Here is a 14,621-nt window from a genome sequence, read left to right as displayed (position 1 = left end):
GTGATACATACCTCTGCTTCTACGAGAAGACATGGTTAAGGTAAATATTGAAGGTGAGTTATTTCTAATTCTCTAGACATCTCTGCTAACCATTAATTAGATTTAATTCCAAATATAGTCATAGATGTATTAAAAATCCCAATGTATTGAAGATAACAAAACCAAAAATTAACTCACTATATTCTCTCTGTTCCTGGATTCTCTAAGGAGACTGTGCAACCAGTCACCCAGGAATAGAAGGCAGCTACATAAGAAGCATCCTTGGTCCTTCCTCCCTCTCATTTATAGTAATAGGTCCTGCTGGTTTGATAGTTCACATTGTTCTTGACTTTGCCTCCTCTTCCCCATTCCTATAATACTGTCTTAATTTAGATCCTCAACGTCACCAACCTCGACCAGCTACCAGAAATGTCCTTCTTACATTCATCCTCTCAACAGCCACCTAAGACTGAAATCTGACCCAACAGCATTTAAGGATCTCCCTATTTGACCCCTGAATGTAGTCCCTGCTTCCACGTGCTGCATACAAATCCCCCCAGTGGTCTCTGCTTGCCCCACAACCTCATCTTACACTGCTCTTTGCCTTTCACTTTATGCTCCAAGAACACTAAACTGCCTCACTTTTTCTTGTGAATGGGTCTATGTATGCTCAGGCTGTTTTCACCATCGGTAATGCCATTTTCTACCCTTCTTCCTATTTACCTAGTAACCACTACTTTATTGTTTAAGTCTCAGCCCAGAAGTCGACTACTCCAAAAACTCTCCCTGAATTACATTTCTCCCCAACGCTCTCCATATAATCTGGATTAAATGTTTCTCTTCTGTGTTCTCATAATTTTCTGTTAATGTGTTACTGTTTCTGCTATATATTTCTGTGCCTTTCCTTCCCTTAACTAGATAGTATACTCCCTGAGGGCAGAAATTATGTCTTATTCAGCACCCTAGCAACTTAACAGTGTCTGGAGAGAATAAATGAATGAATAAATAAACTGGAATCAATACAAAAGTGAATGAATGAGAAAACAGTGAGGATTGAAACCAACAGATGGTCTGCTCCTTAGCCACAGGCAATTAAAATCTAATGGAAGAGAAAAGGTGCATGTGAAAATAGTCCAAAAGGAACAACTTTTAAGAAAAGCATACAAATAATACAAATTAACAGAGTGTATACAGATAAATGTATTTACATAAATATACATATATATGTAAAAACACATTGACAGTATATTAAAGTGTAGTTGGAATTGGGAAAGATTAATTAGGATAATTGATATGATAATTCTCCCTCACTAGAATAAAGCCTGTTTGCAATAATGTGCAATTACAGATCCAGAAACCCAGCATTTATAGACACTTCACACATCTTCTACAGTGCACTGCCTGGCACTCGATCTGTGAAACGCCACTTTCAGGCCAGGGAGCTCTATTATTGCCCATGTTTCAAGTGAGTCAACTGGACTAGGAACATGTTTCCATTCTCTTAGACCCACACTTTTCTCTTACAGAAATGGGAAAGAAAAGTGCTGTAATATTCACTTGGTACACTACTTTCTTGTTACCTAATTTGCTCACACAGCCCAACTCTTACCTCTGTGCATCTTTAATTTCTTTATCCAGGCCTGATTTCTTCTGGAGCACCAAATATGTTTTCTCCAGGACGTTTTCAACTCTAACACCTGTTATTATCTTTAAATTCAAGAAATGTAAAATGTATTTCTTCTTCTTGCACATATTACCAGCTCTTGCCAAGAACGCCTAGATGCTAGAATTCTCCCACTCACGCAGGCACAGAACTCGGCCTCCTGTGTCCCCAAGGGTTAGTCCCCAGACCCTAACAACTGTTTCATAGAAAATGTTTCTTTCTCAGGTCTGTCCTTCCGTTCTAATCCAAACCCACCCTCTATCTTTTGAATTCTGGTCTTGAATTCCTCAAATCTGGACTATTGCAAGTCTCCTAACCACTCTCTGCTGCCAGTCTCCCTTTCTACCTATTCTGCTAGATTATTTTTCCAAAAACACTACTCTGATCATATGTTCCTGCTTCTAAAATAAAGCCTCTGTAACTCATTACAAACTATATGTAGTCCTGAAAGTCAAGTCCCTCAATAAGCCCACTCCAATCTTCTGTAAAACCTTATCCTTTCTGTTTCCCCACATATCACTGCCATCATCTTCAGACTAAATTAGAGTTACTTAATACTCAACTTGTGCAATTATTTAATACTATTTGAAAGCACCATTCCTTTTTTTTTGAGACGGAGTCTCGCCCTGTCGCCCAGGCTGGAGTGCAACGGCACGATCTCTGCTCACTGCAACCTCCACCTCCAGGGTTCAAATGATTCTCCTGCCTCAGCCTCCCAAGTAGTTGGGATTACAGGTGGCTGCCACCACGCTGGGCTAATTTTTGTATTTTTAGTAGAGATGAGGTTTCACCATGTTGGCCAGGCTGGTCTCGAACTCCTGACTTTGTGATCTGTCTGCCTCAGCCTCCCAAAGTGCTGGGACCACAGGCATCAGCCACCACGCCTGATCTTGAAGGCACTATTCTTAAATCCTTACAACAGCCCTTTGATTTTGTTATTAGTACCACTTTTTTAATTTATGAGGAATCTGAGGCAAAGAGAGGTTTAAAAATCTGCCCAAAGTCACATAGCAAGTAAAAGTCTTGAACTTGAGCTGTCTGGCTCCAGAGTCTGCTCTTAAACTATGCTATAGTTTATTCACTATCCCTTGAACATGCCACACCAGACACTGCCTCTGTGACCCTCAGCCAAGGAAATGTCCCTTTTCCTACTGCTACTCATAGTTTTCCCATTCTGTAAAGCCCATAGAAGTTTCATTTTCTTCTCCCAAGTCTTCTCTGACCACCCCAGCTAGAAGTAACACTCCTCACCTGTATAATTTATTAGCTATTTATCAATATCCTGTCAATATCTTTTCCTCCCTAAGTTAATTATTAATTATTTAAAAATGAGTGGCCCGGCGCGGTGGCTCACGCCTGTAATCCCAGCACTTTGGGAGGCCGAGGCGGGCGGATCATGAGATCAGGAGATCGAGACCATCCTGGCTAACACGGTGAAACCCCGTCTCTACTAAAAATACAAAAAAAATTAGCTGCGCGTGGTGGGCCTGTAGTCCCAGCTACTTGGGAGGCTGCGGCAGGAGAATGGCGTGAAGCCGGGAGGTGGAGCTTGCAGTGAGCCAAGATCGCACCACTGCACTCCAGCCTGGGCGACAGAGCAAGACTCCATCTCAAAAAAAAAAAAAAAAAGTACGAACTCTATATACTTCTTTCTATCCACAGCCAAAAAATTACCTTACAAATAAATGATGAAAAAATATTATTTAATCAGTTACATGAAAAAAGGAAGATTCCCAATTTTTTTTTTTTTTTGCCTTTTTAAAGAAGACTGTAGAGATAGATACTTTAAAAATGTGGATTAGGTTCAGGATTTCAAATAATGGGAAAGTAACCAATTGGAAAATCTGAAAATCAGACCTCAAAGAAAGCCAAACCCTTTCATCTACCATATGCCTTTATTTTATCACATTATCTATGCATAAGCTCTAAAGTACTGAGTCACTGAGATACTTTTAGCAATAAAAGAGTGTGGTAATTCTCCATCAGTCATTGTAAAATGGGACATAATCCATCTGGCCCATGCCTCAAGGAGAAGGTATACGGGGAACTAACTTATTTAGCATGAGAAGCCATTCTTAAACATGAAACATGTGACTGTATCTCAAACACACATAAAAAGGCTCTAAGTTCTACCGCTATTCCTTTCTTGGGAAGAAAAGCCTTGCTTTCCGTTACTGCCCCATTTTAACCACTTTGGATATGAAATAAATTCTCACACCTCCATTTGTTGCTGTGTTGCTAGCACATTGGCCTGCACACAAAGCTACACAAGCTCTATTAATTACCAAGTCCTGAACATTTCCACGGCACAGCTATTTCCCGTATGAACAAAGTGATGTTTCATTTCTTCAGACTGAATTTCTCACCACCGCTCTAGCACAGGAATGGGCAACCTTTGAGCAGTCAAGTGCTAGCCTCCTAGTCTCTGCTCACTTGGCTTACGGGGAAGAGGGACGTGTAACAGGGTGAGGTCTTGGGACAGGGGAAGCACCATAAATGAGCCCTGCTTCCATTATAATTTTGTGGAGAACTACACTACCATACAAAGAAAACCAGTCTTCCATGGGTAGCACATTGACCTCTAAAATGCTCCAAATGCATTGAACCCATTGCAAAAACCATTTACTTCTATGTAGAAAGAAAAATACACCTCTTTAGAGATAGCTTAAGGATGACAATCTACTTGTCATCACAGTTTTTTTTTTCTTTTAAGTTCTAATGATAACATTAAACAGGAGCGTTGAATCAGCCCCATTTCACAATCTAGGAATGTAAGTCACAAAAAGTGTGACTTTTTCGAACTGAATAATGAGCAAGTCAGGAAACTGTCACAATGAGAACATCAGGAGGAAATTGGTTCTTGACTCAAGGCTTGAGCAACTTTCATTAAATATTGGCTTCTTTTATGGCTAATCTCTACTCCCTGGGAGCTTGTTTGAAAATTACTTTTTTTTTCTTTTGTACCAAATACATTTCACCACCAGAAAACTAGAAATTCAAATCCATTAGCTTCTCTCCAAACCAATAGTGTTGGTGAGAATCTCTTTCGTTAACTTTAAAATTGCTATTTATGAGTCTTCTAAAGGTTCAGAATAACATTCATATTTAATCTTTTCTTTGGATTTTCAACACTGATAGTCAAACCTAAGATTACAATAATTACCATTAAATAAGTAAACATAAATTTACTGGAAAACCTAGCAACATACCAGAAAACTTTCTCAGCATACAATGTATAAATTTGTTAAGTTAGTCCAGTAAAATATACCTAATCCACAATATACAGAGTTGCTAGAGTTTCCAGTAAGAAAATATTAATTAAAATCAATCAAGTTCCCGGTAGTACGTGTGAATTTTTTGAAAACAGATGTTTTCTCACCGGATTAAGAATAAAGTGGGGGTTATTTGATATTTTTGGTCTCTGTTCCTGTTCATAATAGCTGTTAATTCTAAACCAACACACTTAAAAGACAGTAGTGAGGATTACAATGCATAGATTAAACACCTGGCCAGACTGTACTTGAATAGGCATGAAGTTAATCAGTTGATTCTGTGGTTCAAATAAAATTTCAACTACCAATAAAATATTCTTACTACCGACATACACTATGCGAAAAAAATACTACATCCTGTCAAACTTTACTTGGAAACTTAAGTCAGCTGGGAATGGGGGATGATATCCCAAAGAACAAACTTAAACAGTAACAGATGTTGCTAGTGTCTTCTAAGGCAGCTTACTCTTATTAGAAGTAGTGCTTCTGTATTGCTAAACATAATCAGCAGGAGAGCAAGTTTGGTGTTGGAAGATGAACTGCTCATGGTGATACAAAAAACACATCACATAATGATGTCTCACCACCTCCATAGTACATCTTGGTCCAAGCCACCATCTTCATCTCTTGGTTGGATTAGAGCAGTGACTGCCTGTAGATCTCCTTGCTTCTACTCTTGCCACCAACAAAAAAGTCAGTAAAAATGAAGTCAGTATATAATTGGAGGGTTTTGAACAGATACTCCTCTGCTCAAAACCCTCCAATAGTGACCGTTTAACTCAGCACTAAAACCAAAGGTCTTAGAGCATCTGACCCCTGCTATCTCTCTGACCTGATCTCCTGCCACTCTACCCCTTGCCCATTATATCCCAGACATGCTGGCCCCCTGATTATTCCTCTGTACTGGCCAGCGTGCTTCTGATTCAGGCCCTTTGTACTTTCTGTTCCCTCTGCCTGGAAATCTTTTCTCCAGTTGTTCACACGGCTTGCTCCCTCACTTCCTTCTGGTCTCTGCTCAAAGGCCGTATTATCAATGTAGCTTTCCTGGACCATCCTATACAAAACAGCACCCCATTCCCCACAAAGCAGCAGTTCCAATATTCCTCAGCAGTTTCTCTTTATCTACAGCACTCATGTTATATTCTTTTTATTGTTTATTATCTGTCTTCTCCTACCTTGAGGTCAGGGTCACCATCTATTTTGTACATTGCTCTATCCCTAGCACCCAGCAGTCCCTGGCATATTGCTCAGTAAGTCCTTATTCAGAGAAAAAATGACTCCTGCACCAGAATTATTGTCTTTCTACTAAAGGGAACCAGACGTCTTAGAGAAATTGCTGATTCTAGGATTGGGGCAAAAAATGAGTAAGGAGAGTTTGGAATGTCTTGTCAAATTAGAAAGCAAGGAAAATGTTAAAGACTCCTAGAGTTGCATCAAAATAACTTGAAGAAGTAGATGGGACAGTTTCAGCATTTAGAAAAATAAAAATAATAACTACAATGGATTGAAATACTTCAAATGTATCTAAGTCTATGAGTTTACAATGATTCTAGAATTTAAAAAAATATCCACGTTGCTTAGGTATAGAAGATGCTAAGGAACCAATTCATTATTTGAAAAACTAGTACAACTTAATAAATGGAAAAATCAAGCTTTGTTAATCATTGCTTCATAATTGATCATGTTTCATTAATATTCCACTCCTCGCTCCCCGGCCATCTCTGAACTATTTTGAAACAAATTCAAGATACGCCATTTAATCTATATTGTAATATAATCTCTAAAAGAGTACTCTTTTTAAAAACATAATCATAATGCCATTATCACACTTAAAAATATTCCTTAATATCATGAAATACCCAATTTTCAATTTTTTTCTGATTATCTGATCACTAGTTTTCTATTGCCACTGTAACAAATTACTAATAACTTACTGGCTTAAAAACAACACAAGTTTATTACCTAAACCTAACAGTTAACCTACACAGATATTACTGGGTCAAAATCAAGGTGTTGGTAGGGCTATTTTTCTTTCTGAAGACTCTAGGGAAACTGAGGCTGCCCAGTTCTCTGGTTCAAAGCCCCTTCCACCTCTTCAAAGCCAGCAAGCATGGGTTGAATTGTTTTCACATAGTATCACTCTGATCCTCTCTTCCGCCTCCCTGCTCTTCCACTTTTGAAGACCCTTGTGATTACATTGGGTCAAACCAGGATAATCTCCCCATTTTTAAGGTCAATTGACAAGCAATCTTAACTCCAATCTGCAAACTTAATTCCTTTTTGCCATATAACATAACATAGTCACAAGTTCTGTGTTCATGGACATCTGTAAAGGGGCATTATTTTCCCTACCACACATCTCCCAACACAGTAATTTTTTTCTTTGTTTCTAATTTAATTTTTTTGTTTTTAGAGACAAGGTCTCTACTCTGTTGCCCAGGCTGGAGTGCAGATACATATATTTGAACATTTTTCTATAGTAAAAAGTTTTGAAGAGTGAATAACTGAATTGTTTCATCTTTACAACAACATTTCAAGGTACTGTCAACTATTTAACAGATCAAGAATATAAACTTCTGAAAGGATAAGTAACTTGCCCCAAAACATGTAGAATCACGAAATGAGGCAAATGTTTTTTGAACAACTGCTATGTACCAAACAATGCACTGGCTCTACCAATATGGACAAGACAAACATGATTTCTGCCCTTACTGAGTTTAAAGAAGGTTATAAGCCAGTAAACAGTCAATTATATTATAGTGGGATAACTGCCAGAAAGGTGGGAAAATGCTGAGTTTCACTCACAAGTTTATGCTAAGAGCCTGTAATGCGGCAGGCGCTACGCTATGCGTGTGTTCACAGTGGAGGACAGCACATGCATGTTAAAGTTGGAGGCGCCTGTACAGATCATTTATTGAATATAAAAACTCAGGAGAAGTATCTAAGCTAGAAGAATTGATTCAAGAGTCACCAACATATTGACGACATTTGAGTCTGTGGGAGTCAATGAGACTGTTTCAGGGAAAGTACAGCATGAAAACAGAAGAGCTCCTTAGGCGGAAAGCAAATAACACAAATACCTTAGGGACTGACAGAGAGGCAGGAGAAAAACCAGAAGAGTATGTCACGGAAGCCAGTGGAGGGGAGCAGAGAATCCGGGATCCAAAACCATGTCTATTTCACTCCAAAAACTATGTCCTTATGCATTAATTCATCAATAATTATTATGGACCTACTGTGTGCTGAGTTCTTTGCCAGTTAATGTCTTGATTCATTAAAATATGAAGTCAGAGCTCCTTAAATGTGATCTAAACCTGCTAGTACTCACTTCTGGACCAGTTTGGAGGAGGGGATAGTGATAGTTGAGGTGATTTATTTCTGCTATTTTAATTTCCTTACTGAGCCTGCTAGGATAAATGTAGGAAAAATGTATGAAGGCGTTATTATTTTATTTTCCTTGAAGTCTCTTAACAGCTTAGATTATCACTTTTAAGCCCTTCATGTATTCTGTAAAATATGAGTTTCTTAGATAAATACTACTTATTTCCATAAACCTGACTGCCCAAAGTTTTTAGCCATTATAATTAATGGCTGCAAGGTTCCTGAAATAAAACTTAAGGATAAAAGGCTGTATTCTTCACGTTTTGAGAAACATTTAGGAGAATTTACATAAATTGCTTTAGAAGAGAAATGTGGCCAGGTGTGGTGGCTCAAATCTGCAATCCCTGCACTTTGGGAAACTGAGGTAGGAGGCTCACTTGAGGCTAGGAGTTTGAGACCAGCCTGGGCAACACAGTGAGACCCCCATCTCTACAAAAAAAAAAAAAAAAAGTTTGGCATGGTGGCATGCACCTATAGCTACTCAGGGATGTGAGGCAGGAGGATAACTTGAGTCCAGGAGCTCAAGGTTGCAGTGGGCTGTGATGACATCACTGCACCTCAGCCTGGGCAACAGAATGAGAAACATAATTATAGATCTAATACTTTTGCTAAGGACAAACAGGCTTAAAGTACTAAATCTATTTTATTGTACAAACTTCATATTGGTGTGAATACTTCAACTACTACATTTGGATTAAGCTAAAGCAGCAAAGAAAGTTATGGGGACAAATCTAGGAATAACTATAAAATACATTTTGATTCCTTATTTTAAAAATCCTATAATACTTCATTCTCATTAAGTCAGAAGAAAGGCTGATATTGAAAATATCAATGGATACTAGGCCGGGCGCAGTAGCTCACGCCTATTATCCCAGCACTTTGGTAGGCTGAGATGGGTGGATCACTTGAGGTCAGGAGTTTGAGACCAGCCTGTACAACATGGCAAAACTCTGTCTCTATGAAAAAATACAAAAATTAGCCGGGCATGGTGGTGCGTGCCTGTAATCCTAGCTACTGTTAGGCCGAGGCAGGAGAATCGCTTGAACCCAGGAGGCAGAGGTTGCAGTGAGCCCAGGTCACGCCACTGGACTCCAGCCTGGGTGACAGAGTGAGATTCTGTCTTAAAAAAATATATACATATATATATCAATCAATGGATACTAATACTCCCCCTGACAAAAGACAAATGTTGACAGCCCCAACAAGGCAGAGGTCATAAGTGAGATTTTATGGTGTGAAAAACAACTGGCTCAACTGCAAGAGGTGTTCTTGTTAAAAACACTGAAGCTAATGTTGTGCTTGTATAAATAACTGGGATACATCAAAGTGGCACTCTCGGGGAGATAAAGTATTGTAATTCAACATCTCAGGAAATATGTTCTCAGTGGTATGGTAGCAATTTTACACATACTAAATTGGGTAGCAGTCATGGCAACATGCTTGCATACTATTGTGTGCAGCAAGTGCTTTCTTCTCTGCCCCTTCCCCAGCCATCTCAAACAGATGGTGGCCAACAGAAGCAAAGAATATGTGCATTTTGTCTGTCAAGCTCCTTATGCTGAAAGCCTAAACAATAGTCTACTCTTCATAATCCAGGCATGAAATCATATCCAACAGAAATGGAGACAGTTAAGCCAAGATCTGGGATCAGAGGAAAGTACATTCTGGAGACGATTGTGCAATTTTTAAAAAATGAAATCAGTGATTAAAAGCAAATTGGACAGATTAAACTATTACCATTTCTCTAAGCAGTGGAGAATGCTGGTATGTTTGCTATAAAGCACTGGAACAGGTGCACCCAAGTCTAAGTATCAAATATTTCCACATCTTCAGGAGGCTAGCTTCTTCCATTAGCAACCAGCCTTTCAACTTTAAGAACGCAGATTAAACTGGATCTACAATATCTTAATTAAAGTGAGTGTGGGGACTTGGATTATGTTCATTTCTCTTTTTAATTTCTTATATCACACATAACCAAAATTCATGCCTTTTTCTCCTAGCTGATCTTATATAGAAAACTTCCATTTGGTCAGAGATACAAGTAAAAGCAACCCAGTATGTACCCTGAAGATAAAGATATGAGATCTTAACATATCTGGTTCTACCAGCATTCAATTAAGTCAACAAATTATTTACCACAATATACACACAGAATTTTCTTTCTTTCTTTATTTTTTTTTTTGAAACTGAGTCTCGCACAGTGCAGTGGCGCGATCTCGGCTCACTGTGACCTCCGCCCCCCAGGTTCAAGCAATCCTCCTGCCTCAGCCTCCCAGGTAGCTGGGACTACAGGCACACGCCACCACGCCCAGCTTATTTTTGTATTTTTAATAGAGATCGGGTTTCACCATGTTAGCCAGGATGGTCTCAATCTCCTGACCTAATGATCTGCCAGCCTTGGCTTCCCAAAGTGCTGGGATTACAGGCATGGGCCACTGTGCCTGGCCCAGAATCTTCTAAATCATCTTAATATCACTGTTCCATTTTCTACTTAGAGTGGGAAGACAAGTCTATGCTTTTATTGTAGGAGGCCAATGGGCTTCATTTTCTTAAAAAAAGGAAAAGAAATAAAAAAGAATAAAATTGAAATATTAAAAAAACAAAACAAAACTGAGACATAATGCATGACCTCAGGAATACTAAAGAGGATCAATGGTAAACTCATGCAGACTTTGTAAGCTTAGAATATATTTAAAATATTAAATTTGTACAATTTTGCTCATATTTGGATGAGAAAACCATAAGGACATACATTAAAATCATTTTATACTCATATTATGTCTAGAGTTCTGACATGTCTTACTTCCAAAGTCACACGAAAGCTACATGGGTTTGGCTTTTACCATTTTCCCACCAATTTTCAACTATTTATACAAATAAGAAAGCAGCCTAATTTCAGAAATGAAGGAGAAAGGTACCTACAGTTTAAGTTGACCACATAAATAGAGTTCTAATCATGTAGGGGAAAAAAAATGAAGCAGGAAAAAAAAAAAGAGATATTTTAAGATTTCTCAATGTCAATATCTACAACGTCTCTAATGATGAATACAAGTTATTGTAAAATTTAAAAATTGGGATACTCCTTAAATTTCTATTACTACCACTAATTCTCTAAGATATCTCTCAATTAAAGTCATTAGCTCTCCAAAATAAATGATACTTTATCATTTTTCAAAGTTATGTTTGAATTTAGCATCTTTTAAAAGCAGAGATGGTAGGTCAGCTATTTTATGGTGGAAGAAGCAGCACATCTAGCATAAAAACTAAATTTCAAGATACATAGGCTCCTAGTTCTGGGCTTTCTAGCTGTGATGTTAGAAATGTCATCATTCTGGGTCTTAAGTTACCTCATCTGTAAAACAGCAATAATAACTACCTCAAAGGGTGAGAGGATTCAATGAAGTAGTAAAAGTGTTTACTTATACTTCCTTGAATCTGTAAGAAATGCTTCATACATGTCAATTATTATTACACTCTGACATAAGATCTTACATAGTTAAAAAATAAAACATCCACTCATTCAACAACTACTTAGTACATACAACGTTTTAGATGTAAGAATTCTTCTGGTGTGGAAGATACATTTAAGGATAAGATATCTGCCCAGAAAGAGTTTATCTTCTTAAAGACACTACAGACAAGCAAATAGGCAATCACAGTATCTCAGGACTAGTGCTACCAAGGGTGCTGATGGCTGTCAATAAAGTCTGCAACTAACCATGCAGAATTATCAAGCATTGTTATTCTTATTCATGCGTTTGAAAACCAGTGTTAACAAAACTTTTTCTGTAAAGAGCCAGAGAATAAATATTTTAGGCTTTGTGGGCCTTACAGACTCTTGCAATATTCAACTCTGCCATTGTGGCATGAAATCAGCCATAAACAATACGTAAACAACCGTACCGTAGCTGTTTTCCAACAAAACTTCATTCACAAAAATCAGTGGTGGGCCAGATGTGACCAAGGAACACCATTTGCCAAACTTTGGTTTAAACCATATGCATCAATTAATAGAACAATTCTTTATGAAAAGCATATATGAACAAATGTAGATGTCTGCCTTATAAAAAGTTTAATATTTTAATCTCAGAAAGAGAAGAAAATGGGGAGAAAGAACAGCTTTCACAGATGAAGCCTTGCATCAGCACTGGAAAGCTTCCAACACGCAAATAAATTTCAATGAAGGAACAATTAGAAGAAAAAGAAAACAGGCAATTAATGGTTGTTACTTTTATTTTTTCCTGAGAATCAGAAACAAAAATCTACTTGTTATGTAAGGAGATGGGCATATTTACATGTTTCACACCCCAGTTTTGACAATGGACAGCTCCAGTCAGGGCTTTACGGCAAGAGGGCTGTTTAGTTTAATGATGTCAAAATGCAGGGGAGCAGATGGCAATAAAACATTATTAGAAGAGATGAAATATACGCAACTGGTAGCAGTTTACTTATTCATATAAAAATTTTAAAATGGAACCAATAAATCTATCCATCTTAGCTAGGCAAATTTAGTTATCTCGATTTATTACTGTAGTGCAAAGCCTACAATGAAATTTGGGATGGTTGTAGAAACAGTAATTTCCTTTCTCACCCCTATCTCCCTTAGACTTCAAATAAAAGATAGAATTTATATCCACTTATAACTGAGATGCACATCATTCAGTCTTTGATCTAATCAAATCTCACAAATATATTTGAGTCTTTCTCACAAAAAAAAAACAAAAAAACACCGAAACAACATATCAGATCTCTCCAAAGCTCAGTCTACAATGAAGTAAACAAGCTTTTCTTTATTGCTAAATGTAGCACACACCAGAAGCGGGTATGATTAAAAAAAAAAGAAAAACACATTAACTAGAATCTTAGCCAAATGATCTAAATTTCAAAAACGGAGTTTAGATGCAAAGAAAATGTTACTTGAAACAGATCTTAGCAGTTGCCAGTCACTTGAAGCTCCCTATTATCCAAGGCAAGAATCCTTTCTATCCCATCCCTAACAGATACAGTCCTCCTTAAATACGTTCACTGATACTGTCTTTTGACTTAGGAAAATACAGTATTCAGAGTCAAAACAGCTGGGTTCAACTCACTACAGAACTCTAAACAATTCTTTTGACTTTTCTCAGACACTGCTACCTCATTAAATAATGCCTATTTAAATTTTAAATTTTAATGACATTACCTTATTGTGCATTCTTATAAAAATATCTGTTACAACTGAAAGTATTACAAAAACAATGATTACTACTAATCAATGATAGTCATCATTCTACTGTTAAATGTTAAATGTTTGTTCCTTTTAGGCCGCCCATTGTATTCATGAGTTCCCAATCCTCAAATAGGGATGGTGAAAACTCCTCAGATGGGGTACAACAGAAGCAAAAATTAACTATTCATTTTGAAAAGCAAGTTTGTGTTTTTTCCCGTTTCGTTTGATCAAAAGAAATTTATACTGTCCCCAAAAGACCTTCAAATGGTCACAACTTTTATATGTATAGCTTACTTGTATCATGCTTCTTCAAAACACAAAACAACTTATATTCTAAAAAAGAATCATAAACTTTTGTTTTTACATTCTTGTCAATTAAGAGCCTTTGTCTTTACTACATATCCAAACTGTCTCACAGAGAAAAGCAAATCACTAAGATAAAGCTTATATACATATCACCTAATTCACATAAAGGGAATGGTGCCTCAACAAGAGCATAGAGAAACTGTTATCTGTTCAATACGGACTATCAGAGGTTAAGAATGTCTAATATTGGCCGGGCGCAGTGGCTCACGTCTGTAATCCCAGCACTTTGGGAGGCCGAGGCGGGCAGATCACAAGGTCAGGAGATCGAGACCATCCTGGCTAACACGGTGAAACCCCGTCTCTACTAAAAATACAAAAACATTAGCCGGGCATGGTGGCGGGCGCCTGTAGTCCCAGCTACTTGGGGGGCTGAGGCAGGAGAATGGCGTGAACCTGGGAGGTGGAGCTTGCAGTGAGCCTAAATAGCGCCACTGCACTCCAGCCTGGGCAACACAGAGAGACTCTGTCTCAAAAAAAAAAAAAAAGTCTAATATTAAATGATAAAATACTACTGCCTTGAGTATATCGCCATAATATCATATCAACTAATATCAATATATGTTTTTATTTTCCTCAGTAGAATGCCTGCCTCCATGGACACGTTTAATAATATCCACTAATTTCTTGTCAACACCAGGGACATGAGAGTAAACAGGGCTCAACTGGGAGTTGTGTGTACACACAATTAAAGAAAGTATGAAGGTAGCATTCTAATATGCTATAAACTGAATACAATCCTCCACGGGTGTTT

General features: G+C 37.9%; 1 protein-coding gene across 6 annotated transcripts in view; it reads right to left on the bottom strand.

Moving 5' to 3' along the window:
• Nucleotides 1–14,621, bottom strand: part of PDLIM5 (PDZ and LIM domain 5) — a 216,282-nt gene that overhangs the window by 28,413 nt on the left and 173,248 nt on the right. The window lies entirely within an intron of this gene.

This window comes from Homo sapiens, chromosome 4 (genome assembly GCF_000001405.40).
Source record: "Homo sapiens chromosome 4, GRCh38.p14 Primary Assembly".
Lineage (NCBI taxonomy): Eukaryota > Metazoa > Chordata > Mammalia > Primates > Hominidae > Homo > Homo sapiens.
Note: the sequence above shows the minus strand (reverse complement) of the source record. Positions and strands in the feature narration are given on the sequence as shown.